The sequence below is a fragment of the Homo sapiens genome, chromosome 22 (assembly GCF_000001405.40).
Source record: "Homo sapiens chromosome 22, GRCh38.p14 Primary Assembly".
NCBI classification, from domain to species: Eukaryota; Metazoa; Chordata; class Mammalia; order Primates; family Hominidae; genus Homo; species Homo sapiens.
The window spans coordinates 29,752,935-29,780,266 of record NC_000022.11 but is presented as its reverse complement, the minus strand read 5'-3'; the positions used below and the strand labels follow the sequence as shown (position 1 = coordinate 29,780,266).

The 27,332-nt window shown below is 48.7% G+C and overlaps 2 protein-coding genes across 5 annotated transcripts in view, besides 5 other annotated features; one reads left to right on the top strand and one right to left on the bottom strand.

Moving 5' to 3' along the window:
* Positions 1-9,853: 9,853 nt before the first annotated feature.
* UQCR10 (ubiquinol-cytochrome c reductase, complex III subunit X) lies at positions 9,854-12,898 on the bottom strand. 2 transcript variants are annotated; one of them, NM_001003684.2, is made up of 2 exons: positions 12,660-12,898; positions 9,854-10,589 (listed from the first exon to the last, which is right to left on the bottom strand). In NM_001003684.2, exon 1 carries the CDS (start codon positions 12,866-12,868, stop codon positions 12,680-12,682), a length of 189 nt encoding a protein of 62 aa, NP_001003684.1. In that variant the 5' UTR covers positions 12,869-12,898; the 3' UTR covers positions 9,854-10,589; positions 12,660-12,679. The 2 variants fall into 2 exon arrangements, with proteins under 2 accessions (NP_001003684.1, NP_037519.2); NM_013387.4 differs by having other exon boundaries at positions 12,719-12,898.
* Positions 12,726-13,375: an enhancer, noted in NCBI's record as "H3K27ac hESC enhancer chr22:30162881-30163530 (GRCh37/hg19 assembly coordinates)". NCBI's record gives its function as "activates a minimal SCP1, AML or CMV promoter by ChIP-STARR-seq in primed H9 embryonic stem cells {active_cell/tissue: H9 hESC(primed)}" and the evidence as "EXISTENCE:reporter gene assay evidence [ECO:0000049][PMID:30033119]".
* Positions 12,726-13,406: a biological region, named in NCBI's record as "H3K27ac hESC enhancer GRCh37_chr22:30162881-30163530".
* Positions 12,767-12,816: an enhancer, noted in NCBI's record as "active region_18819". NCBI's record gives its function as "activates an Ori minimal core promoter by ATAC-STARR-seq in GM12878 lymphoblastoid cells {active_cell/tissue: GM12878}" and the evidence as "EXISTENCE:reporter gene assay evidence [ECO:0000049][PMID:35858748]".
* Positions 13,177-13,406: an enhancer, noted in NCBI's record as "active region_18818". NCBI's record gives its function as "activates an Ori minimal core promoter by ATAC-STARR-seq in GM12878 lymphoblastoid cells {active_cell/tissue: GM12878}" and the evidence as "EXISTENCE:reporter gene assay evidence [ECO:0000049][PMID:35858748]".
* Positions 13,260-27,332, top strand: part of ZMAT5 (zinc finger matrin-type 5) — a 36,052-nt gene continuing 21,979 nt past the window's right edge. The window contains exons 1-2 of one of the 3 annotated variants that reach the window (NM_019103.3): positions 13,260-13,395; positions 25,404-25,518. The gene's annotated coding sequence lies outside the window, so the exon portion shown is untranslated. The remainder of the gene's footprint in view (positions 13,396-25,403; positions 25,519-27,332) is intronic. The other 2 variants (NM_001318129.2, NM_001003692.2) reach the window with 2 other exon arrangements.
* Positions 13,376-14,025: an enhancer, noted in NCBI's record as "H3K27ac-H3K4me1 hESC enhancer chr22:30162231-30162880 (GRCh37/hg19 assembly coordinates)". NCBI's record gives its function as "activates a minimal SCP1, AML or CMV promoter by ChIP-STARR-seq in primed H9 embryonic stem cells {active_cell/tissue: H9 hESC(primed)}" and the evidence as "EXISTENCE:reporter gene assay evidence [ECO:0000049][PMID:30033119]".

Sequence of the window (27,332 nt, the reverse complement as noted above, 5' to 3'; positions counted from 1 at the left end):
ACCAGCCTGACCAACATGGTGAAACCCCATCGCTACCAAAAATACAAAATTAGCTGGGTGTGGTGGTGCATGCCTGTAATCCCAGGTACTTGGGAGGCTGAGGCAGGAGAATTGCTTGAACCCAGGAGGCAGAGTTTGCAGTGAGCTAAGATCGCGCCGTTGCACTCCAGCCTGGGCAACAAGAGTGAAACTCCATCTCAAAAAAAAAAAAAAAAAAAAAAAAGTGCAATGGAGAAGAAGGGTTCCAGCGCAATCAGGGAAGGTTCTGGATAAAAGTGTTTTGTTTTGTTTTGCTTTTTGAGACAGGGTGTCACTCTGCCACCCAGGCTGGAGGGCAGTGTTGTGACCTTGGTTCACTGCAACCTCCACCTCCCAAGCTCGAGTGATCCTCCCACCTCAGCTTCCTGAGTAGCTGGGACTGCAGGTGTGCACCACCACACCCAGCTAATTTTTGTATTTTTTGTAGAGATGGGGTTCCCCCATGTTTCCCAGGCTGGTCTCAAACTCCTGAGCTCAAGCGATCTGCCTGCCTCAGCCTCCCAAAGTGCTGGGATTACAGGTGTGAGCCACTGTGCCCAGTCTAGGCAGAAGTTTCAAAATGGGGATAGGCCAGGAGCAGCAAGAAGGCAGTCAGCACCAAGCAGCTGCCAGCCAACACTTTCGCTACACTCCATCATTGCTCTGTCCTTGATGCCTGCTGGAGTCTGCCCTTGGCATTCGGTCTATATATAAATTCAAGCATATCAGGCCAAGGCCCCAAAGAAAAGAGAAAAATGATTTTTTTTTTACATGGCACATAGTAATAAATATGAGCATAGCCAATGGTCCTGCATTTGGATCTCTGCTCTACTCTCACTAGCTGCGTTACCCTGGGCAAGACACTTAACCTCTCTGAGCCTCATTTTCCACTTGGAATGACAATCCAGTGACACAGGGTGCATGTGCGGCACCTGGCCCAGGCCTGCCCCCGAGTGAGTGCCCAGAGAAGGCACTATTTTTGTGTGTGTGATCTTCTGTGTGTGCTGGTTGCCTGCCCCACACAGTACAGAGTGTTCGTCCTTTGCTGTCACTCAAGCAGCTGCCACAACCTCCGTCTTGTGCAAGGAATTTGTATTCTCTCCAACTTTGCACATTGCTCAGGCATTGTAAATTCATTGATTTCTGTCCTTTCCCCAGAGGACTTCAAACTCATTTGTAGGACGGTCCTTGTTCCTTGTGTTTGGAAGGGCTGACTGAGTCATGGGGATGGAATCTATTTCTTTTTAATAACTTACATTGCTTCCCCCCTTAGTACAAAAGCAGTAACATGCTCGGTGTGGTTCACACAAATAAGCAAAGGAAAACTACTGATAATCCTGCCATGCGGAAATAATCACTGTTAAGATTTTAGTTCTTATCCTTACAGCATTTTTTTTTTAGAAAAAAAGAATACACATAATGGTTTTCTACAAATATGGGATCGTACTACACATGCTATTATCACCATTTATTCAGGTAATGAGATATTGTGAACATCTTTCTGTTTCTCATCTGCATCATGTCGAATGGCTTACTTGTCTTCTATTATACCATGCTTTAGTCGGGCAATTCCCTGTTTTTGTACATTGAGGTTCTTTCTAATTATTTGCCGTTAAGCTACAATGAAGAGTCTCCTGGCTAAATATTTGCCCACAATCATGATTATCTTCTCAGGATAAATTCTTAGAAATAGAATTGCTGGGTCAAGTTTTTTGACTGATGTTGTTGAATGGGTCTTCCCGCCAGCAGTGTTTGAAACGATCATTTCCCATATCTTGGCTCATGCCGGATATTATAATGATTAAAAAAAAAAAACTTTGTGAATTTAATAAGTAAAAGGACATCTAGTGATTTTTATTTTGCCAATCTGTTGTTACAGAGCTTCAAGAAGCAGATGCAGGTATAAAATGGGCCGGAGAAAGATGCAGAGGTAGGGAGGGGAGTGTGGTGGGTACCCATAGTCCCTTCAGTACGAAAGATTTACCACCTCAGATGCTGGACGTGCTGTTGGCCTCTTCAGGGATTGGCCAGGCTGAAGAGAACTGCCCTGCCCTGTCTGCCCACTTCCTAGGCAGCAGCCTCCAGCGAGTGATCAAAAGAGACTACAGTCTGGGTGCGGTGGCTCACGCCTGTAATCCCAGCACTTTGGGAGAACAAGGCAGGCAGATCACTTGAGTCCAGGAATTCAAGACCAGCCTGGGTAACATGGTGAAACCCCGTCTCTACCAAAAGAAAAAAAAAAAAACTCAAAAAGAAAAAGAGGCTATAAATGGCCCTGGTCACCCAGATCAGGACAGCTCTGAACGGCCATGCTTCAGAACTAACCAGGGTCAGCGGAAGCCTTTGTTGAAACTGCATCTATGGCCAGATGCAGTGGCTCACACCTGTAATCCCAGCACTTTGGGAGGCCGAGGCGGGTGGATCACAAGATCAGGAGTTTGAGACCAGCCTGGCCAACATAGTGAAACCCTGTCTCTACTAAAAATACCAAAACTAGCCAGACGTGGTGGTGGGAGCCTGTAGTCCCAGCTACTCGGGAGACTAAGGTGGGAAAATCACCTGAATCCAGGAGGCAGAGGTTACAGTGAGCCAAGATCATGCCATTGCACTCCAGCCTGGGTGACAGAGCAAGACTCCGTCTCAAAAACAACAACAAAAACAAAAACACAAAGAACACATCTACATCTTGGTCTGACTTCTTTTTTTTTTTTGAAATGGAGTCTCACTCTGTCGCCCAGGCAAGAGGGCAGTGGTGTGATGTCAGCTCACTGCAGCCTCTGCCTCCCAGGTTCAAGCAATTCTCCTGTCTCAGTTTCCCAAGTAGCTGGGATTACAGGTGCCCCCCCCCCCACCACCATGCCCAGCTAATTTTTCGTATTTTTAGTAGAGACGGGGTTTCACCATTTGGCCAGGCTGGTCTCAAACTCCTGACCTCAGATGATCCATCTGCCTCGGCCTCCCAAAGTGTTGGGATTACAGGGATGAGCCACCACGCCCAGCCAGTCTGACTTCTTCTGCTGGTCCTGTTTCTTTTCCTTGGTCTACACTAGCCCCCAGTGGAGTCCACTCCCCAGGGAACCCAGCCTGTGGTTAGGAAGCATCCTTGTGTCTACCTGGGACAAGCTCAACGTGTGCTTGGTGTACAAACCTAGAATGTTCTGAGAGCTGGGCCTTCCTTCTTTGGGCCACCATGACAACACAGAGGTAAAATGTTTTAAGCCCTGGCAGGCAGCCCTGGGGTGCCAGAAGCTTCTAGGGTACCCTCTGGCTGGGTTATTTAAGCAGTCAGCTGGGTGGAGATTTACTATACAGAGTTTACTTCCCTTGACACCCCTCCTAGATAACAACACCCTCAGAAACAACAAGAATTATGGCTGCCATTGTGCAGTATCATGGGGGTTATTTATTTTACAGATAAAGGAACTGGCTGAGAGAGGGTAAGTAACTTGTCTGAGTTCGCACAGCCGGTGAGTGGTGGGGCTTGAAGTCTAACCCAGGACTGTCCATTCTAAAATCAATGCTCTTGGCTGGCCACGGTGGCTCATGCAGGTAATCTCAGCACTTCGGGAGGCTAAGGTGGGTGGATTGCCTGGGCAACGTGGTGAAACCCCATCTCTATTAAAATACAAAAAATAATCTGGGCATGGTAGCACACACCTGTAATCCCAGCTACTTGGGAGGCTGAGGCACAAGAATCATTTGAACCCGGGAGGCAGAAGTTGCAGTGAGCCGAGACGGTGCCACTGCACTCCAGCCTAGGAGACTGAGTGAGACCCTGTCTCAAAAAAAAAAAAAAAAAAAAAAAAAGATAAAAGAAACAAAGCGCATGTAACGTTACTCTTCAAACCAGAGTCACTCTCCATAAATTATCAGTTTGATTTTCTTCATAGCCCTAACCTGAGCTGAAATTCTTTTTTTTTTTACTTTTTGTAGAGACAGGGTCTCATGTTGCCCAGGCTAGTCTCAAACTCCTAGGCTCAAGCGATCCTCCCGCCTTGGCCTCCCAAAGTGTTGGGATTACAGGCATGAGCCACTGCGCCCAGCTTAAGAGATATTTTTGAGCACAAGAGAGAAGCTAGGGAAATGACATTAACTCCAGTACTCTTAGGAGAGTGGTCCTGCTTGCTCAGAGTTATGTGGGATCAGAGACTTTCTGGAACTCACTTTCCAAGGTACCCAAGTATTTAACTTTTCCTAACACCTGTGCTGGGGAGCAAGTGGGAAGCCCTTGAGGCTTTCTGACTTTAAAGACTGTCCCAGCTTTTGCCTCCAGGAAATGCCTCAGGCTAAGCTTGGGAGGGAGGAGAACTGTTTTCTAGTTATAAACAGCTTCTTGGTGCCAATTGGAGGAGGGTGTTAATCCTACCTCTTCCCACCTGCATGGCAGTCCCATCCAGGGAGCTCTGGGGCGGGGGGGTGGGGAGGCAGCTCTCATTTGGCAGTGCCACCGAGGGACAAGTCCTCATTGGCATCTGAGGAGGGAGTCCTGGGCCACAAAGCAGAGGGGTTCCAGGCCTGGAGCCAGAGCTGGTGGCTCACGTTTCTTAGCTCTCTGTATTCACTCTCTATCTGGGAAACCCCCTTTTAATTTATGTACCCCACCTTATAAAAATAATACACGGTTGATGCAGAAAAGTTAGAAATCTAGAAAATACAATGGCAAAGAAAAATAACGGTGGGATACAGTGACTCATGCTTGTAATCCTAGCACTTTGGGAGGCCAAGGTAGAAGCATCACTTGAGGCCAGGAGTTCAAGACCAGCCTTGGCAACATAGCAAGACCCCCATCTCTTAAAAACAAACAAAAAATAGGCTGGATGGGCACGGTGGCTTATGCCTGTAATCCCAGCACTTTGGGAGGCCAAGGTGGGCAGATCACCTGAGATCAGGAGTTCGAGAACAGCCTGGCCAACATGGTGAAACCCGATCTCTACTACAAAATAAAAAAATTAGTCAGGCATGGTGGTGGGTGCCTGTAATCCCAGCTACTCGGGAGGCTGAGGCAGAACTGCTGGAACCCGGGAAGTGGAGGTTGCAGTGAGCCGAGATCACGCCACCGCACTCTAGCCTGGGTAACAGAGCAAGACTGGGCACAATGACTCACTCTTGTAATCTCAGCACTTTGGGAGGCTGAGGCAGGAGGATCACTTGAAGCCAGGAGTTCAAAACCAGCCTGGTCAACATAGTGAGACTCCATCTCTATAAAAGAAAAATTTTTAAATTAGCTGGGTGTGGTGGCAGGCAACTATAGTCCCAGCTACTGGAGAGGCTGAGGCAAGGAGATCCTTTGAGCCCAGGAGTTGGAGGCTGCAATGAGCCATGATTGTGCCATTATACTTTGGCCTGGGTAATAGAGTAAGACCCTGCCTCAAAAAAAAAAAAGACTTCTTAATAAAACTAACTTTAATTCTTTATGCATTTTTGTTTGTTTGTTTGTTTGTTTTCAGATGGTGTCTCGCTCTGTCACCCAGGCTGGAGTGCAGTGGCACGATCTCGGCTCACTGCAACCTCTGCCTCCCAGATTTAAGCGATTCTCCTGTCTCAGCCTCCTGAGTAGCTGGGACTACAGGCAGACACCACCACGCCCAGCTAATTTTTGTATTTTTAGTAGAGACAGGGTTTCACCATGTTGGCCAGGCTGGTCTCGAACTCCTGACCTCAAGTGATCCACCCGCCTCAGCCTCCCAAAGTGCTGGGATTACAGGCGTGAGCCACTGTGCCTGGCCCCTGCTTTATTGTTTACCAGAATGTTGCCCTCAAATAATTGGGAACAATTTAATATAAGTTGCAATCTTCAACCCCCAGAGTCATTCTCTATGTGATGCTGAAATCATTCATAAACATCTGAGACCAGGGATAGTGCCTCACGCCTATTTTCCTAGTGTTTTGGGAGGCCAAGGAGGGAGGATCACTGGAGGCCGGGAGTTTAAGAGCCTTCTGGGTAATGGCAAGACCACGTCTCTGCAAAAAATTAGCTGGGCACAATGGCACACACCTGTACTCCCAGCAACTCAGGAGGCCGAGGCAGGAGGAGCCCAGGAGTTCAAAGCTGCAGTGAGCTATTATGGCGTCTCAAAAACAAAAGTCTTAGAATAGCCTCCGCTTTGGTTCAGGGCTCCTTTTTTTTTTTTTTTTTTTTTCTCAAAAAAAAAAAAAAAAGCACACACACAGAAAAAACAAAAAAACTTCTGAATAAAACTAACTTTAATTTTTTATGCGTTTTTTGTTTGTTTGTTTTTGAGATGGGGTCTCGCTCTGTTGCCCAGGCTGGAGTGCAGTGGCACAATCTCAGCTCACTGCAACCTCTGACTCCCAGGTTAAAGCGATTCTCCTGCCTCAGCCTCCCGAGTAGCTGGGATTACAGGCATGAGCCATCACACCCGGCTAATTTTTGTATTTTTAGTAGAGACAGGGTTTTGCCATGTTGCCCAGGCTGGTCTCGAACTCCTGACCTCAAGTGATTCACCTGCCTTGGCCTCTCAAAGTGTTGGGATTACAGGCGTGAGCCACCACGTCTGACCGCGCCTGGCCTGGTTTAGGTCTTGATTTGACCCCCAGAGCTATACTATCTTCAGCAGGTCATGATTTTTCTAGGCTTCAACTTCGTCTTCACAAAGATACACCTCAGGTAGGAAAAACTGGACAATTTCTAGGGTCTCTCCTACCTCTCCATGGGTTTCCTGACCTGAATCTTCCTCCATCAGAGAAGATTCTGGATAATCCAGCTCTGGCTGAATCACATCAGGCTGTAGGTGAAAGATGGCAGACGGGTGAGTCATTTACCTTACTAGGCCAGGCAGCCACCCCAGCTACAAAACAACTGCTCTATGCCTGCTCAGGGCTTCCCAGTGTTCTCCTCTGGCACTCCCAGCCAGGAGGCACGGTTTCCAGCCAGGCTGCAAGGTCTCTAACAGCCATCAGCTCTAACCAGGAGCCAGGCATCAGCCTCCTAGCTAGGCTCTCTGCTTTTATTCCCACCCACTTCCAATCTAATTGCCCCACAGTTCCCAGAGTGAGGTTTTTATATGACAGAGCTTGTTGCTCCCTTGCTTAAGACATTTTCAGTAGTAGCTACTCATTCTAATTTTGGTAAAATCCAGATTCTTTTTTTTTTTTTTTTTTTTTTTTGAGATGGAGTCTCACTCTATCGCCCAGGCTAGAGTGCAGTGGTGAGACCTCAGCTCACTACAACCTCTGCCTCCCAGGTTCAAACGATTCTCCTGCCTCACCCTCCCAAGTAGCTGGGGTTATAGGTGCACGCCACCACGCCCCCGCTAATTTTTGTATTTTTAGTAGAGACAGGGGTTTCACCATGTTGGCCAGGCTGGTCTTGAACTCCTGACCTCAAGTGATCCACCCACCTCGGCCTCCCAAAGTGCTGGGATTGCAGGCATGAACCACTGTGCCCGGCCCAGATTCTTCACTATGACTTACCAGGTCCTGAATGATCTGGTCTCGTGTATTCTCCACCTTCAACCTCATCTACCTGGCCTGTGAGCTCCTGCAACACAGCAAGTGCTTTCCCCATATGGGCCCTAAAACCTGCTACTTCCCCTGCTTTGCCTCTAACGCCCAACGTAAGTGGCTCATCTTTATCACCTATCGGTCTCAGCTCTTCTGAGGCTTCCCTAGACCAGCTGTCACCCTGGTTAATCCCTCCCTCTCCTTGCACTGCTTCCCAGAGCCTTTGGCTCAGTCTGTAATAATACAGGATGGCTTTTAGTGTCTTCCCCATAGGAGTTTAAGCCCCACATGCTATATTACCATCATATGTCCTGCTAGCACAGTGCCTCACAGTGGCCAGCCAAACACTTGCTGAATGAATGACCAGACGTTTCTCCAACTCCTCCTCTTCACATTCCTACTGCTCCAGCCTTCCAGCAGAATCGTCTGGTTTTCTGAGTCCTTAGCCTCCATGTCTCTCTGCCAACAGTTTCTTCCATGTGCCAGCATCTGTGACTGTGCTAACTGCATTACAGCTCGTCTATTTTTTTTTTTTTTTTTGAGATGGAGTCTTGCTCTGTTGCCCAGGCTGGAGTGCAGTGATGCGATCTCTGCTCATTGCAACCTCCGCCTCCCGGGTTCACGCCGTTCTCCTGCCTCAGCCTCCCGAGTAGCTGGGACTACAGGCGCCCGCCACCACGCCCGGCTAATGTTTTTGTATTTTTAGTAGAAATGGGGTTTCACCGTGTTAGCCAGGATGGTCTCAATCTCCTGACCTCGTGATCCACCCACCTCGGCCTCACAAAGTGCTGGGATTACAGGCGTGAGCCACCACGCCCGGCCTACAGCTCCTCTATTTTTAAAAATTTAATTTAAAAACATTTTTGGCTGGGCATGGTGGCTCACGCCTGTAATCCCAACACTTTGGGAAGCCAAGGCAGGAGGATGTCTTGAGTCCAGGAGTTCGAGACCAGCCTGGGCAACATGGCAAAACCCTACCTCTACAAAAAATACAAAAAAACTAGTGGGGAGTGGTGGCGCACACCTGTAGTCCCAGCTACCTGGGAGGCTGAGGTGGGAGGATTGTTTGCACCCAGGTCGAGGCTGCATTGAGCTGAGATCAGGCCATAGCATTCCATTCTGGATGACAGAGCAAGACAGTCTTGCTGTCTCCCAGGCTGGAGTGTAGTGGCGCAATCTCGGCTCACTGTAACCTCCACTTCCCGAGTTCAAGCAATTCTCCTGCCTCAGCCTCCCGAGTAGCTGGGATTACAAGCATATGCCACCACACTCGGCTAATTTTTGTATTTTTAGTAGAGATGGGGTTTCACCATGTTGGCCAGGCTGGTCTTGAGCTCCTGACCTTAAGTGATCCGCCTGCCTTGGCCTCCCAAAGTGCTGGGATTACAGGTGTGAGACACTATGCCCAGCCAAAAATTTTTAGAGACAGGGTCTCACTCTCCCCCAGGCAGGAGTGCAGTGGCACAATCATAACTCACTGTAACCTTAACTTCTTGGCTCAAGTAATCCTCCCACCTCAGCCTCCCAAGTAGCTGGGATTATAGGCTGGTGCCACCATGCTCAGGTAATTTTAAATTTTTTTGTAGAGGCAGGGTATCTCACTATGTTGCTTAGACTGGTCTTAAACTGTTGGCCTCAAGCAATCCTCCCACCTCAGCCTCCTAAAGTGCTGGGATTACAGGCCTGCAACTCCTTTAATACTCCCAAAAATCCCACACAGTATGTTCTACTACCCCATTTTACAGATAAGGAAACCGGAGTTCAGCAAGTTCAAGTGCCTTGCCCTTGTGTATTAGTCCATTTTCACGCTGCTGATAAAGACATACCCGAGACTGGGTAATTTATAAAAAGAGGTTTAATGCATTCGCATTTCCACATGGCTGAGGAGGCCTCACAATCATGGTGGAAGGCGAAAGGCCCGTCTTACATGGCAGCAGGCAAGAGAATCAGAGCCAAGCAAAAGGGGAAACCCCTTATAAAATCATCAGATCTCGTGAGACTTATTCACTATCACGAGAACAGTGTGGGGGAACCGCTCCCATGATTCAATTATCTCCCACCGAGTCCCTCCCACAACACATGGGCACTATGGGAGCTACAATTCAAAACGAGATTTGGGTGGGGACACAGCCAAACCATATCACCTTGGTTCCCATAGCTAGAATCAGTGGAGTAAGGATTCAAACCCACCAACTAAGCACTTTTATGAACTGAACTCATCAGAGTGGAACTGTGGCAGGAGGCTGTGACCCAGAGAGGTATGACTGCTTACCAAAAGATACTCAGTAATAGGCAGAATACACCAAGCTTGTCCAACCCGTGGCCTGCAGGCTGCACGCAGCCCAGGATGGCTTTGAATGAGGCCCAAACACAAATTCTTCAACTTTATTAAAACATTATGAGATTTTTGCACAAACCATTGTTTTTTGTTTTAGCTCATCAGCTATGGTTACTGTATTTTATGTGTGGCCCAAGACAATTCTTCCAACATGGCCCAGGGAAGCCAAAGGATTGGATACCCCTGAACTATACCCTAGGGTGGGGAGTGGCTAAGACCCCTAGGCCAGGGTCTTTCCCCCAGCTGAGGCCATAGTGCTTCCCCATGGCCAAGACAGTGAGGTATTTAAGAATGGAATTACTGGCTTAGAAGCCAAAGTTGACTGTAATATCTCCAACTCTGGCTCCTGTTTTGAAAACCAGAATTCTTTGGAAGTTAATGGAAAACTCAAAATAGCAGATTCTGCCTTTGGGGTGTTTGCAGAGGGCTTTGAAGTGGTCTCAAATTACTGACAAGTGAAGATCAGGTAGAGTTAACAAAGCAACCAATGTAGAAGCAGGTCTCAAGGGCAATTCACATTTATTTCCTGAGCATGCTGACTAAACATACTTCAAACACAGCAGAAGGTAAAGAGTCTGTTTTGTAAGTAAAGCCGTTTCTTGCCAACAGCGAATGGTGGTCCATGAAGAGTACCTTGAGCATCATCTTCAAGCTGAGGCTCCAGCTCTGGGCAAACAGCTGCTGGGTGGACCTGGTCCTTCTGGCCTGGATGGGGGCCTCCAAGGAACTACTTGTTCTCATACTTGTGCTTGATGTGTTTCCACAGCTTCTGCATTTTAAAGACAAGAGCCACAAACTTTGACCTTTGCCTCTCACATTTTACAACTACTCCCACTGCCCTGGTCTCTAAAATGAGCTTGGGGGAAACACATGCCATGTCCTGATTAAAAAGATACACTTGTGGTGGGCAAACTCGAAGCAATCCTATGCTTGATGCACATTTTTTTTTTGAGACGGAGACTCGCTCTATCGCCCAGGCTGGAGTGTAGTGGCGCAATCTCGGCTCACTGCAACCTCAGCCTCTTGGGTTCGAGCGATTCTCCTGCCTCAGCTTCAAGAGCAGCTGGGAATACAGGTATGCGCTACCCGGCTAATTTTTGTATTTTTAGTAGAGATGGGGTTTCGCCATGTTGGCCAAGCTGGTCTCAAACTCCTGACCTCAAGTGATCTGCCTGCCTTGGCCTCCCAAAGCGCTGGGATGACAGGTGTGAGCCACCGCGCCGAGCCTTCATGCATAATTCTTGGCATTTATAAAATACTATGATGCTTTCAATCACCAGGTGAAGTAAGTGGAAAGGGGTGATCTTAATTTCACAGGAAATTCAGTTTGAGATTGAGGGAAGTGCCCCAAAACACACAATTATTAAGGAAAACAGCCTGGAAGATGTCTCAGTTCTTCAACTCCCAGGTATTACTGAAGAGATTATAAGTGCGTAGTCCCAAAATATTTCACCATGAGCCATTTAAGACATTTCCTGGGACCTAAATTGGCTGAAATTCTCATTCCCAGAAGCACAAGAGGTTGAGCACAGTGGCTCACGCCTGTAATCCCAGTACTTTAGAAGGCTAAGGCAGGAGGACTGCCTGAGCTCAGGAATTCAAGACCAGCCTGGGCAACATGGTGAAACCCCATCTCTACAAAAAATACAAAAATTAGCTGGGCGTGGTGGCGCATGCCTGTGGTCCCAGCTACTCAGGAGGCTGAGGTGGGAAGATCACTTGAACCCAGGAGGTCAAGGCTGCAGTGAGCTGTGATCATGCCACTGCACTCCAACCTGGGCGACAGAGTGAGATCCTGTCTCAAAAAAACAAAACAAAACAAAAAAAAGCACAAGGAAAATGGGTGAGTTATAACAACATACTTGGATGTCTCTCCAGATCAATGGGAGTGGTTAACAGAACCACTTGCAAGAGATGGGACAGTAGCAATGCTTTCATATGGGGCAGGAAGTTGCACTGGTCACAGGCAGCATAGCACTAGTGGACAGTGCCTTCCCGGGCTGCAGAGTCAGACAGTCTCAAATTAAAAACACAAGTGAGTGGTGGAACAGGGCTATATGTATAAGGCCTACTCCAGCACAGTCATAATTTAGCGATATAAAGCATGCACTGCACCTAGCACAGTGCATGATACATAAAAGTCAAAAATGTGTTGCGATTCCTACCTCATGCTTCCACTTTCTCCTGAGGAATGTAAGCAATGATTATTTTTCAGTGGTACCACCTACCAGGCATGTGGCACCCTGCCTGCATCTCATGTAATCCTCACAATCGTGCTCAGGTTACTATTAATATCTCCATCTCACAGTTAAAACGGAGTTCAGAGAAGAAACTTGCTCAACTTAATGCCACAGTTAAGTGACAAGGACCAGTGTTCCTATCCAAGGCTTTCTGATTTCATAGCCCCCACTCTCAACCATTAATACCAACTGTCTACGTGGGAAGCCTTGGGGACCAGAAGCGCCGTCTGAAACTTCAGCCACGGCGTCTAAGGTGTCTAACGTCCTTTTCACGACCGTCGCCTGCTCAAATCTGCCCTTGAAACTCTGAGAGACAGGGGTCCCGTTTCTGGCCCTGACTTGCCCCTGGCTTCCTGTGCAGCTAGTAAGTCCTTTGCTCTCACTAGCCTTTAGTTTTTGCTTCTGATAATGGGCAAGTGGGTATGTAGGGTGGCACACAGCAATACTTACAACCCCTGCAAAATGAAATATATTAACCTCGCTTAACGTTTTAGAATTCACATCAAGCCAAGGGGACAGACGGCGGACTCGAGACAGAAGACGCCGACGGTTTACCCCTTACCCCCTTCCTGGTAAAAGTATACTGAGTCCCATCCCACCTCTACTCCACTGTCACCCCTCAGGCGGGTCCAAGGTCAGGGATGGCACAGGCCCTCACCCCCTCGTTGATGTGGTCGTAGATAGCGTCCGCGCCTTGATCGAAGGCGCGCTCGAAGAACATGACGCCCACGATGATGGTGAGGGCGAAGGTGGAGGTCCTGCGGAACAGCAGGGAGTACAATTTCGAAGTCAACGTCGCGGCCGCCATGTTTCTTCACAGTCCAACTCGCGCCACCGCGCCTGCGCTGGGGCCGACCTCGTTCCCCAAAGGCCCTAGACGTGCAACACTTTATGGGATTTGTAGTTCCTCTGAATCTCAGCCTTCGTGTTTTGAACCACAGAGGTATTCCTATCCTGGGAATGAGGAAAAAAACTCAAAAGGTTCATATCAGGACAGCCCAGATAATCTGATAAGATTTATTACCCAATTTTTCTTCTCCAGAATTCCTGGCTGTTAGAATATGTCAAACTACAACTCCCAGAAGCCCTCGCGCGCCATCACCTTCTCCCCGCCCTCCGCCCAGTCCCGGCTTAGATTCCCAAAGCTCTCTGGGAAGGGCGAACTGATGGCCAAGGCGAGACTACGAATCCCAGCAAGCAGTACGCGACGCGAGGACGCAGGAGGAGGAGCCCGGAGCTGCAGCCACCGGGGAGCCAGGTACCTTCCGCGAGACGTCGAGGGGCGAGTCCTAGTCTCTTTTCTCCGCACTGGAAGACTTGAACACTTCCTTCTCTGTGCGTACGCCCTGCGGCGGGACGCACCATTTCTTGGGATAGGGTGTGGATAGAGGGGCGAGGGCAGCTGGGTTCCCGAGACCCTGGCTCAACTCTTCGCCTTGTCCCCTGCACCAGCCCCAAGTCTAGGCCAGGAGCTGGAGCCTGCGGCAAAAGTCTTGTCCTGGAGGTTAAACCCTTCACCCTGGATTAAGGGCAGGGACGGATCTGCCCTGCTTCCTGTTCCTCTCACCCCTGGGCTTCGCACCGGGCAACCCTGGTTTGGAAGGCTGGAGACTTGGAACCTGCTTGGGATTGAAAAGAGCAAGGGCTTTGGAGTACCTGGGGCATTCAACAGATGTTTTCCCAGCGCCTGTTCTGGTCCCTGCTCTGGGGACCCAGCAGTGAACAAAGTCCTTGCTCTCACAGAGCGCTCAATCTACGGAGTGGGCGGGTGGGGAGATGCAGTACAGCAAACAGATAGTGCTTTGGTTGACTGGAGAGGCAGTGGTGGTGACATTGCACCCTGGGTAGCTGCTCTGGGGGGTGACACTTGACTAGAGACCTGAATGAATAGTAGAGTTGAACAGGAAAACGTTGGTGCAAAGGCCTTGAGGCAGCTACAGTCCTGGGATGTTTGAGGGAAAGAAGTAGAGTGGACTGTGAAGAGGTTGACTCCGGTCAGCTCATGTCTGGCCTTGGAACCCACCTTACGGAGTCTTGTTTTCTTTGGTTTTTGTTTTTAGAGACAGGGTCTCACTGTGTTGCCCAGGCTGGTCTCCAACTCCTGGGCTCAAGCAATCTTCCTGCCTCGCCCCCCAAGGTGCGTGAGCCACCGCGTCTGGCCAAGGAGTCTTGTCTTTTTCTAGTTGCACTAGGAGGCCATTGAAGGGTTTTCAGGAGAAATGCGACAAGATTTAATGTGCACTTTAATGTCATCATCCTGGCTGGTCTATGGAGAGTGGACCGCAAGGGGGAAGTTATTGTAGTAGATCATTTGAGGGAAGATGGGTGGTTATTTATTTGAGATGGAGTCTCGGTCTGTCGTCCAGACTGGAGTGTAGTGGTGCTATCTCGGCTTACTGCAACCTCCGCCTCCCGGGTTCAAGTGATTCTCCTGCTTCAGCCTCCCGAGTGGCTGGGATTACAGGCGCCTGCCACCATGCCTGGCTAATTTTTTTTTTTAGTAGAGACAGGGTTTCACCATGTTGGCCAGGCTAGTCTCAAACTCCTGACTTCAGGTGATCCTCCCATCTTGGCCTCCCAAAGTGCTGGGATTACAGGCGTGAGCCACCATGCCCGGCCTGATGGGTGGTAATTTAGGTTAGGGTGTGGAGCAGGGCAGTGATCAGATTTGGGATGTAATTTGGGAGGGAGGGCAGACAGAGCAAGCTAGCAGATGTGTGTAGGGTGCACAGGAAAGAGGAATTGAGGAGGATATCTAAGTTTTTTTTGTTTTTTGTTTTTTGTTTTTTTTTGAGACAGAGTCTCACTCTGTGCGGCTGGAGTGCAGTGGCACAATCTTGGCTCACTGCAACCTCTGCCACCCATGTTCAAGCAATTCTCATGCCTCAGCCTACTGAATAGCTGGGATTACAAGCGGATGCCAACACGCCCAGCTCATTTTTGTATTTTTAGTAGAGACAAGGTTTCACCATGTTGGCCAGGCTGGTCTTGAACTCCTGGCCTCAAGTGATCCGCCTGCCACGGTCTCCCAAAGTGCCGGGATTACAGGTGTGAGCCACCGCGTCCAGCTGACATCTAAGTTTTGACCTCAACAATTTAAAATCAACAGAATGATCTTAAGTTCTGTTTTGGCCACATCAGTTTGAGCTAGCCAACAGACATCAAGTGGAGGTGTCTAGAGGCAAATGAGGACATGGATCTGTAGTTTAGAGGAGAGGTATGAGCCTGAGAAGAGTCATCCGGATAGGGGTGGCATTCAAAACCAGGGACTGGGCTGGGGATGGTGCCTCACACCTATAATCCCAGTGTTTTGGGAATCCAAGGCAGGAGGAACACTTGAGGCCAAGAGTTGAAGACCAGCCTGGGCCGTATAGTGAGACCGTCTCCATGAAAAACAAACTAGGGGCCAGGCGCGGTGGCTCACACCTGTAATCCCCACACTTTGGGAGGCTAAGGTGGGTGGATCACTTGAGGTCAGGAGTTCAAGACTAGCCTGGCCAACATGGTGAAACCCTGTCTCTACTAAAAATACAAAAAAATTAGCCAGGTGTGGTGGTACCCGCTTGTAATCCCAGCAACTCGGGAGGCTGAGGCAGGAGAATCGCTTGAACCTGGGAGGCGGAGGCTGCCACTAACTGAGATCGCGTCACTGCACTCCAGCCTGGGTGATGGAGCTCAAATGAAAACAAAACAAACAAAAACTAGGGATTGGATTGCAGGCCTGGCTCTGCCTCTGACTCTGACATTGATCAGGCTTTAACTCTCTTTTAATTCATCTGTAAAGAGCAACAGTAATACCAGGTTAGGGGATCAGAAGGTAAAATGTGAAATGCTTTACATCCATGAGTTATCCTTACTGTGGTTTTATACTATTTGCAAAGCATCCTGGGAGCCCCTCAGAGCAGGAAGTTGTGAGGCTCCAGGGGAAGACTACTTAGGTCTTGCTAATCATTTCCAACCAATCTGGCTGATGGGAAGTTCAGAGGAGGGAGAAATGAGTAGGGAAGACCACAGGGAGTTAAAGGTGTGGCTTGTTTCATTTGGTTTTATTATGTTTTATTTTTGTAGAGACAGGGTCTCCCTCCATTGCCCAGGCTGGAGTACAGTGGCACATAATTCCTGGTTGTAATAATCATAGTTCCTTGCAGCCTGGAACTCCTGGGCTCAAGCAATTCACCTGCTTCAACCTCCCAAATAGCTGGGATTACAGGTGTGCACCACCATGCTGGGTTATTATTATTACTATTATTATTTTGAGAAAGGGTCTTACTCTGTTGCCCAGGCTGGAGTGTAGTGGCACGATCATAGTTCACTGCAGCCTCGAACTCCTGGGCTCAAGTGGTACTCCCACCTCAGCCTTCCAAGTAGCTGGGACTACAGGTGCATGCCACTATGCCCCACTAATTTCGTTTTCTGGTTTTCTTATAGATTTTTTGTAAAGACTAAAAAAATTTAGGGGTGTCACCATGTTGGCCAGGCTGGTCTCAAATTACTGAGCTCAACTGATCCACCCACCTTGGCCTTCCAAAGTGCTGGGATTACAGACATGAGCCATCTCCCCAGCCTAATTTTTATTTATTTATTATTATTATTATTATTTTGTTTGAGACGGAGTCTCGTTCTGTTGCCCAGGCTGGAGTGCAGTGGCACCATCTCGGCTCACTGCAACCTCCGCCTCCTGGGTTCAAGTAATTCTCCTGCCTCAGCCTCCTGAGTAGCTGGGATTACAGGCGCCCGCCACCACACCCAGCTAATTTTTGTATTTTTAGTAGAGAAGGGGTTTCACCATGTTGGTCAGGCTGGTCTTGAATCTCTGACCTCGTGATCCACCCACCTCGGCCTCCCAAAATCCTGGGATTACAGGTGTGAGCCACCGCACCTGGCCTTATTTATTTATTTATTTATTTATTTATTGAGGCAGAGTCTCGCTGTGTTGCCCAGGCTGGAGTGCAGTGGTGCAATCTCAGCTCACTGCAACCTCTGCCTCCTGGGTTCAAGTGATTCTGTTCTCTCAGCCTCCCGAGTAACTGGGATTACAGGCACCTGCCACCACGCCCGGATAATTTTTGTATTTTTAGTACAGATGGGTTTTCACCATCTTGGCCAGGCTGGTCTAGAACTCCTGACCTCAGGTGATCTGTCCGTCTCGGCCTCCCACCCAGCCTAATTTAAAAAAATTTTTTTGTAGAGAGAGGGTCTTGCCACATTGCCCAGGCTGGTCTCTAACTCCTGGCCACAAGGGATGCTCCCACCTTGGCCTCTCAAAGTACTGGATTTTGGTTTTATATTTTATCTTTTAAATTCTCATTCGGAGGTAATCATTTAAAAAACGTAATTTCCCTTAAACTAGCAGTCCCCAACCTTTTTGGCACCAGAGACCAGTTTTGTGGAAGACAGTTTTTCTATGGACGGGATACAGGAGGGGGATGGTTTCAGGATGATTCAAGTGGATTATATTTATTGTGCACTTTATTTCTGTTATTACATTGTAATATATAATGAAATAATTATACAGCTCACCATAATGTAGAATCAGTGGGAGGCCTGAGCTTGTTGTCCTGCAACTAGACGGTCCCATCTGGGGGTGATGGGAGACAGTGACAGATCAACAGGCATAGATTCTCATAAGGAGCGTGCAACCTAGATCCCTCGCATGCGCAGTTCACAATAGGATTCGTGCTCCTATGAGAATCTAATGCTGCCGATGATCTGACAGGAGACGAAGCTCAGGCGGTAATGCGAGCAATGGGGAGTGGCTGTAAATACAGATGAAGCTTCGCTTACTCACCTGCCACTCACCTCCTGCTGTGCGGCCCAGCTCCTGACAGGCCATGGACCCGTACCGTTCCGGGGCCTGGGGGTTGGGGTCCCCTGCTTTAAGCCATGTATTTCAACTTAGAAATTATTATTCAATACATAAATATCGGCAAATAAGAAAAATGACCTTAATTTTTTTATTAATATTTGAACTCAAGTTGAAGATTCTGAATTTCTCAAGACACTCATCCCTATTTACAGCTTAATTTCATTCCTGCCAACATTTTAAATCTATTTGTAAATTTAATATATTTGATTTTCTTTTTAAGTACTTTATATGAATAACATAACAAGCACAGTTTTCCCCAGAGTAAAGAGTTACTACAAAATCTAATCAATTAAACTTATAATGAATTTCAAGTTCTTATAAATAATTATTTTTACAGACTTAGTAAAATTCTCTATGTCAGTGGCTCTTAGTTTAGGGAGCTAAAAAGAACAAAAACAAAAAAACAGGCTGTATTTCTGACATGAAATAGGAATATATGGGGGGCCCCTTAGTAACCTTTACAGCACCCCAGGTAATTCTGTTATACAGTCCATATTTCCAATCATTGCTAACCTCTCAATCTAAAATCACAACTCTAATATCAATTACTGACATATATTTTGTCACTAACTCTATATTTTAACTTTTGTATTTTAAATAGGAATCACAATGCTTATCTGTTAGACACTCAACATATCACATTTTTTTTTCAATATTACAGATACTTTTTTTGTTTTAGGCATTAGATTCTCATAAGGAGCACATAACCTAGATCCCTCGCATGCACAGTTCCCAGTAGGATTGTTCTGAGACAGTGTCTCACTCTCTCACCCAGGCTGGAGTGCAGTGGTGCAATCTTGGCTCACTGCAGCCTCCATCTCCCTGGGCTCAAGCGATCCTCCTACCTCAACCTCTTGAGCAGTAGTAGCTGGGACCACAGGCCCGAGCCCGCACCACCATGTCTGGCTAATTTTTTAAAAATTATTTGTAGAGACAAGGTTCCCCTATGTTGCCCAGGCTGGTTTTGAACTCCTGGGCTCAAGTGATCCTCCTGCCTCCCAAAGTGCTGGGATTACAGGTGTGAGCCACCATGCCCTGTCTACAGCTATTTTTTTTTTTTTTTTTTTTTTTGAGACGGAGTTTCACTCTCACCAGGCTAGAGTGCAGTGGCACAATCTCGGCTCACTGCAACCTCCGCCTCCCAGGTTCAAGCAATCCTCCTGCCTCAGGCTCCTGAGTAGCTGGGACTATGGGTGCGCACCACCACGCCCAGCTAATTTTTATATTTTTAGTAGAGACAGGGTTTCACCACGTTGGCCAGGATGGTCTCGATCTCTTGACCTTGTCATCCGCCTGCCTCAGCCTCCCAAAGTGCTGGGATTACAGGCGTGAGCCACCGTGCCTGGCCAACAGCTACTTTTTAATTCCAAAATATACAGATTATTACTAAATTTAGGATAGGAACATTAATACAGTGAATTTGATTTGCTCTTATGCTTCTATTTTTAATTCTAAACTTTCCAGGAGTGTGACAAGACACTTATCTAGTAAGAAAACAGCTTTATCCACTTTAACTAATTGTGCTTAGCATCAAGTTGGATTACCACTTCAGTGACCTGAGGTTATTCATAATTGGACTGATTTCTAGCTGGGACATGAGTCCAGGGGGCTGTGTCTACCCAGAATAACTGTCCCCAGCAGAGGCTGCATTTGGAACTCAAGGGAAAGTTCATTCCTCCAGGCTTTTGCTTCTTAAGGGGTATTAGACTTGCTAGTTAAAATGCAGATTTCTAGGTCCCCCTCCAGATCTGCTAAATCAGGATTTCTGGGGACCTGACCCAGGAGACTATTTTTTTGTTTTTGAGACAGAGTCTTGCTCTGTCACCCAGGCTGGAATACAGTGGCACAATCTGGGCTCACTGCAACCTTCACCTCCTGGGTTCAATCTCGTGCCTCAGCTTCCCAAGTAACTGGGATTACAGGTGTGCACCACCACGCTGAGCTAATTTTTTTTTTTTTTTTTTTGAGACAGAGGAGTCTGTCTCTGTCACTCAGGCTGGAGTGCAGTGGCACAATCTCGGTTTACTGCAAGCTCCGCCTCTCAGGTTCAAGCGATTCTCCTGCCTCAGCCTCCTGAGTAGCTGGGATTACAGGCGCCTGCCACCATGCCCAGCTAATTTTTTTTATTTTTTTATTTTTTGAGACGGAATCTCGCTCTGTTGCCCAGGCTGGAGTGCAGTGGTGCAATCTCGGCTCGCTGCAACCTCCGCCTCCCGGGTTCAAGAAATTCTCCTGCCTCAGCCTTTCGAGTAGCAGGGACTACAGGCTCGTGCCGCCATTCCCAGCTAATTTTTTGTATTTTAGTAGAGATGGGGTTTCACCATGTTGCCCAGGGTGGTCTCAAACTCCTGAGCTCAGGCAATCCACCCACCTTGGCCTCCCAAAGTGCCAGGATTACAGGCATGAGCCACCGTGCCCGGCCTAATTTTGTATTTTTAGTAGAGACAGGGTTTCACCATGTTGGCCAGGCTGGTCTTCAACTCCTGACCTCAGGTAATCTGCCCGCCTAGCCTCCCAAAGTGCTAGGATTACAGACATGAGCCACCATGCCCGGCCCCCTTTTATTTTTTTGAGACAGGGTCTCACTCTGTTGCCCAAGCTGGAGTACAGTGGCATGATCAGAGTTCACTGTAACTTCAGACTCCTGGGCTCCAGTGATCCTCCCATCTTAGCATCTTGAGTAGCAAGGACTACAGACACATGACACCCCAACTGGCTAATTAAAAAAAAAATTTTTTTTTAGAGACGGGGTCTCACTATGTTGCCCAGGCTGGTATTGAACTCGTGACCTCAACTGATCTGCCTTGGCCTGCCAAAGTGCTGGGGTTACAGGTGTGAGTCACTGCATTTAGCTGAGATTCATTTTTAATAAGTTTCTCACTTGGAAGCCATGGAAAATTTTGAGCAGGGATGATTTAAGGAGAGTTGATCTGATGCTGCTTATGATACAGTGAATGGAGGGGGCTGTCCAGATGTGAGGAGTCCAGAGGTGAGGAGCTGAGTTCTTTCTTGGGCAGTAGTGACAGTGGAGATAGAGGATCAGATGATATTTGGTGCCCAGACTCGGGAGAGAAGAAGCGGGAGGCAGAGACAGTTCTGAGTCCAAGTATCTGGTTCAGGAGCCTCATTCAGACTATTTTTACCTTTCCTATTTGGAAACTCTGGCCTCTTGGGACCTGTAACTATCTGATGAGAAACTTGTCTCCAGCCCGCAGTTCCTGGAGCCCAGATTCAGGCTCAGCCGACCTTCACCAGGCCTTGGGGTGTGCTAGGCCAAGTCTGGTTGGAATCAGGGTTTGCCTTGTCAGTCTTCATCCAGGGGGTGAGGGGAATGTCTGCTCTATTTCTTTCACTTACCACCCCTGGCTGGTTCATCCGAGTGAACCAGGTCTCTGGAACCCTCCATGGCAGCCTCCAGAGGGAGAAGGAATAGGATTTATCCCCGCCTTACAAATTTCCCTCTTGTTCTTTTTCTCTTTTTTAGAGGCTAGTCAAGCGAGGCAGTGGGAGTGCAGAAGGAACAAAGAAATCTGTATCTGGTTGTGATCAGTTAGTCACCAACACTGCTGCACTTGGACTAGCCCCCCACTTTTTTTGAAGGGACTTTTTGTGTGTGTGTAAATTTTAAAACAATACATGCCAAATATAGAAACTTTAAAAAATAGATACCAAATGAAAAAAATCTGGACATAATCCTATTAAGTTTTCTTTTCTTTTTTGAATGAGGTCTTGCTCTGCCACCCAGGCTGGAGTGCAGTGGCATGATCTCGGCTCACTGCAACCTTCATCTCCTGGGCTCAAGCGATCCTCCCACCTCAGCCCCCCAAGTAGCTGGAACTATAGGCATGCATCACCACACCCAGCTAATTTAAAAAAAACAAACTGTTTGTAGAGATAGGGTCTTACTATGTTGCTCAGGCTGGTCTCAAACTCCTGGACTTAAGCAATCCTCCTTTCTTGGCCTCCCAAGGTGCTGGGATTACAGGAATGAACCACTGCGTCCAACCTAAAGCAACAAACTTTTATTTTCTCATACTGTTTCTAGGGTCAGGAATCTGGGCGCTGCTTAGCTGAGTGGTTCTGGCTGAGTCTCTTGGGAGGTTGCAGTCAAGATACCAGCCAGGGTGGAGTCTTCTGAAGGCTTAACTGCGGCCAGAGGGTTTGCTTCCAAATGTATTCACGTGGCTGTTAGCAGGGGGTCTCAGTTCCTTGCCACGTGGGCCACCCTGCAGGGCTGCTCACAGTGTGGCAGCTGGCTTCCCCCAGACCAAGTGATCAGAGAAAGAAGACACTGAGATGGAAGCAGCAGTGTCTTTTTTTTTTTTGGAGATGGAGTCTCATTCTCTTGCCCAGGCTGGAGTGCAGTGGCGATCTCGGCTCACTGCAACCTCCGTCTCCCAGGTTCAAACAATTCTCCTGCCTCAGCCTCCCAAGTAGCTGGGACTATAGGTGCACGCCCCACACCCGGCTAATTTTTTGTATTTTAGTAGAGACGAGGTTTCCCCATGTTGGTCAGGCTGGTCTCGAACTCCTGACCTCAAGTGATCTGCCCGCCTTGGCCTCCCAAAGTGCTAGGATTACAGGTGTGAGCCACCATGCCCTCCCTGCAGTGTCTTTTATAACCTGTTCTTGGAAATGGCATACCCTCACCTCTGCTCTGTTCTCTTGGTCACATAGACCAACCCTGACCCAGCTTGGAGGGGACTACACAAGGTGTGAAAATCAGGAGGTGGGATTGCTGGGGGCTTGGAGGCTGGCTGCAACATGCACAAGCGTGTGTGAAGCACCATTGGCGTGCCAGGCACTGTGCTAAGCAGCTAGCATGCATGATTTAATTCTCACAGTAATCTTATGAAATAGAGTCATTACCCTCGTCTTCCAGATGAAGCTCAGAGGTAAGCAGTTTGCTGAGAGTTACACAACCTGAGAGTGGCAGGGACTGGATTCAGACCTGGGTTGGTGATTAGAGTAGTTGTGTTTAAGGGAAAACAGCTTCAAAGGATTGTTCTGTGTGACCTTGAGCATGCTCTCACCCTCTCTGTTCTGTCCATCATCTGCTACCTTAGGCTAGCATTTCTTTCTGTTTTTTTTTTTTTTTCTGTGAAGTCCTTTTTTTTTTTTTTTGAGATTGGGGTCTCACCCTGTTGTCCAGGCTGGAGTGCACTGGCGTGATCACGTCACACTGCAGCCTTGAACTCCTGGGCTCAAGTGATCCTTCCACCTCAGCCTCCCAAGCAGCTGGGACAACAGGTGTGTGTTATCATACCTAGCTAATTTTTTAATTAAAAAATATATATATTTTTTGAGATAGTCTCGCTCTGTCGCCCAGGCTGGAGTGTAGTGGTGCAATCTTGGCTCACTGCAACCTCCGCCTCCCAGGTTCAAGTGATGCTCCTGCCTCAGCCTCCCGACTAGCTGGGATTACAGGCATGCACCATCATGCCCAGCTAATTTTTGTATTTTTAGTAGAGATGGGGTTTCACCATGATAGCCTCGAACTCTTGACCTCAGGTGATCCACCTGCGTCAGCCTCCCAAAGTGCTGGGATTAAAGGTGTGCGCCACCATGCCTGGTCAAATTAAAAAAAATTTTTTTGTGGAGATGGGGTCTAACTATGTTGCCCAGGCTGGTCTCAAACTCCTGGGCTCAAGTGATCCTCCTACCTTGGCCTCCCAAAGTGCTGGGATTACAAGTGTGAGCCACTGTGCCCAGCCTGGACTCGCATTTCTCTGTGGAGTCTGAATCAGGACTTTCTTACATCCTGGCCCTGTCCCAGACCTGCCGAGTCAGAAATTGCAGTGGGTGGGCCCCTCGCTGCCTTAGACCTGTGGGAAAAAGATGATGTGCCTTACCCCAGGGGAGGGCAGGAGGCAAACACAGGGATGAGGTCAGGATGAAAAAGGTGTGTGGCTGCCACCCAAGGATCTCAAGGATGCCTCTAGCATACGGGGGTTCGGTCAGGAAAGACATCTGGATTTCCTTGGCGCTTCCTTCCGAACAGGGTCCTGCACCAGCAGTCTGCAGACCACCCCCACAGGGTGGTTCTGATGCCATCAACTCCAGATGGCAGGCATATATGACACTGGGACATTACCGAGCTCCTAGTGGGCGTGCAATAAAGCCGTCCTCTGGCTGTGGTTTACTGTTTACCTGGGGTCTGGAGGTGCCATAATTAGAAAAAATAACAGGTGAGCTTCAGGGTCGCCTGTGGTGAGCACAAGTCCAGGATAATTATAGTGCACATCCCAGCCCCTGGCCAAAGGCCGAGCTGTTGGCTTATTTTTGCCTTGTGCCAAAGCCAGCTCTTTCTGTACCTGAGACACACACAACGAAAGGAATGGAGAATATTGATGAAGCGCAAATGTTTGCCCTGTAGCAGCCTCACGGCAGGACAGTGGGATGGAGAGAGAGTGGGCTCTGGGGTCAGCCAGACCCAAGTGTGCGTGCCAGCTCTGGTGTGCCTTGGCTGTGGGGCCTTAGGCACGTGGCTTCACAGTGTCATGGTGAAGACTCCACAGGAGGGGATGTGGGGGTCCATGGCACCCTGGCCCACTGGCAGCTCAGGATGATGAGACGTGGTTGTTATTGGTTATTGATGTGTCATTATTGTTACTGACACTAACAGTAATTGTTATGGTTATTATTAGAGTCTTTCTGGCCATGGCTGTGAACAAATTAGGACCGAGTTTTCCCAAAACTGTTTTCTGGTCTGTAAAATGGACACTTGATATTGATATCTACTCAGAGTGTCTCTAGGAGGATTAAATAAGGGAATGAAAGCGAAGTGCCAAGCAAGCGGGAATCAAATCTGAAGCTGTCACCCCTCACCCACCATCCCCAGCCTCTTTTCTCCTCTCTGCCACCCCACAGTGCCTTGACTAGTTTTCTTCTTTCTTTCTCTTTGTTTCCTTTCTTTCTTTCTTTCCTTTCTTTTCTTTCTTTTCTTTTTCTTTCTTTCTCTCTCTCTCTCTCCCCCTCCCTCCCTCCCTCCCTCCCTCCCTCTCTCTCTCTCTCCTTTCTTTTTTTCTTTCTTTCTTTCTTCTTTTTTGACAAGGTCTCACTTTGTTGCCCAGCCTGGAGCATAGTGGCACAATCTCTGCTCACTGCAACCTCCGCTGCCTGGGTTTGAGCAATTCTCCTGCCTCAGCCTCCTGAGCAGCTGGGATTATAGGCGTGTGCCACCACGCCTGGCTAATTTTGTATTTTTAGTAGAAACGGGGTTTCACCATGTTGGTCAGGCTGGTCTCAAACTCCTGACCTCAAGTGATCCACCCACCTTGGCCTCCCAAAGTGCTGGGATTACAGACATGAGCCACCGTGCCCGGCCTTGACTGCGATTTTAAAGTGGGGTTCAGAGTGTGTTCACTTAGAGGGTGAGGGGGTGGGCAGCCCGGATGATAATAGTAACAACAGTAACAGCCTCCGTTATTGAGCAGGAACTATATGCTAGGCACATTTTTTTCTTTGTTTGAGACAGGGTCTCTGTCACCCAGGCTGGAGTGTAGTGGCGCAATCTCAGCTGGCTGGAGCCTTGACCTCCTTGGGCTCAAGCTATCCTCCCACCTCAGCCTCTCAAATAGCTGGGACTACAGGTATGTACCACCATGCCTGCCTAATTTTTTTCTTTCTTTCTGTAGAAATGGGGTCTGCCCATGTTGTCCAGGCTGGTCTCGAGCTCCTGGGCTCCAGTGATCCTCCCACCTCGGCCTCCCAACATGTTGGGATTACAGGCCTGAGCCATTGCAGCTGGCTACTAGGCACCTTAATGTACTACTGCCTCGGTAAACCTCAGCAGCTGTGGGATCCATATTTTATAGCTAAGAATAGATCAAGGGAGATGAAATGACTTCCCAGGGGTCACCCAGCTCATAAGCAGCAGAGCTGGAATTCAGATGTGACCCATGTGACCCAGAGGTTGTCCCACTAGCCTTGCCCGCTGCCCCTTGGCCAAGAGAAGCCAGCACTCTCACCTGCTGGTGCTCCAGGGATCCAGCAGATGCCTTTGCAGCCGTGCACCTGGTCCCTGGGAGTGGGTGGATGGCACCACCTGTGTTTCTGGCAGGGCGTGGGGCCGGATGGTTCTGTGTTCCAGACGGGACCTCGCTCACACTCTGCTGCGTGTGCCACCCTCAGAGGATGGGGATGAATCACAGCAGAGGGGGCCAGCTTAGTCAGCACCCCATGATGGTATCTGGGCGCCATTTAGAGACACTCCAGCTGTCCCCTTCCTCCCCTGTCCCTGACCCCTCCTCGGCTGCCAAGTACGGTGGTGCAGGTTGCACCTTGTGCAAGGACACCTGGCTGAGGGGTGAGCTGGAGCTGAACTCCAGCCGGCATTCTGCTTGCCAAGTTGTGTGTCTGGCAGGGCGCTGCATGTGTCCAGAGGATTCTGCAAGTTGAACCTTATCCTAATGTGGGCAAAGGCATCAGAGCGGGAGGCATTTGGTTCAGGAGCTCTAGAATTTTACATCTGAGCGAGGTCATCTTGTTGAAGGCCAGCCTCTGTCTGGGAACATGGCCTCAGGCACATGCCTGTGGGGACAGGACTGTGAAGTAGGTAGAATGTGTGCCCCCTCACCCCAATGCCATCCCTGGGCAGTGGGGGCTCTGCACAGCTGGTTCTTTTTTGTTGTTGTTGTTTTTGCTTTTTTTGAGAGGGAGTCTTGCTCTGTCACCCAGGCTGGAGAGCAGTGGTTCGATCTCGGCTCACTGCAACCTTCGCCTCCTGGATTCAAGTGATTGTCCTGCCTCAGCCTCCCGAGTAGCTGGGATTACAGGCATGCGCCACCACACCCGGCAATTTTTTTTTTCTTTTTCAGATGGAGTCTTGCTCTGTCACCCAGGCTGGGGTGCAGTGGTGCGATCTCTGCTTACTGCAACCTCTGCCTCCTGGGTTCAAGCAATTCTTCTGCCTCAGCCTTCTGAGTAGCTGGGACTACAGGCACACGCCACTATGCCCAGCTAATTTTTGTATTTTTAGTAGAGACAGGGTTTCACTGTGTTGGCCAGGCTGGTCTCTAACTCCTGACCTCACTATCCACCCTCCTCAGCCTCCCAAAGTGTTGGGATTATGGGCGTGAGCCACCACGCCTGGCCTGAACACTGTTATTATCCCAGTTTTCATAGCAGGAAAACAAGGCCAGAAATGCCAGTATCACTGAGTGAGAAAATTAGGAAGCAGTAGCGACTGGATGTAAGCCCTGACATCTGACTCCAGAGCCAGCTCTTAACTCTGTCCCCGGACAGCCTCCCCAGGCACAGAAATGCAGAGATAGCTGGTCCTGATGCTCAGTGCTGTCCCCAGGCTGGGTATCCCGCTCTCGGAGGTGAGATGGGGGTGCTGTGACCTGCTTCTTAGGGTGAGAGGGTCAGGGAGGGGCCTGCCCAGGTGGTGCTCAGTGAGCAT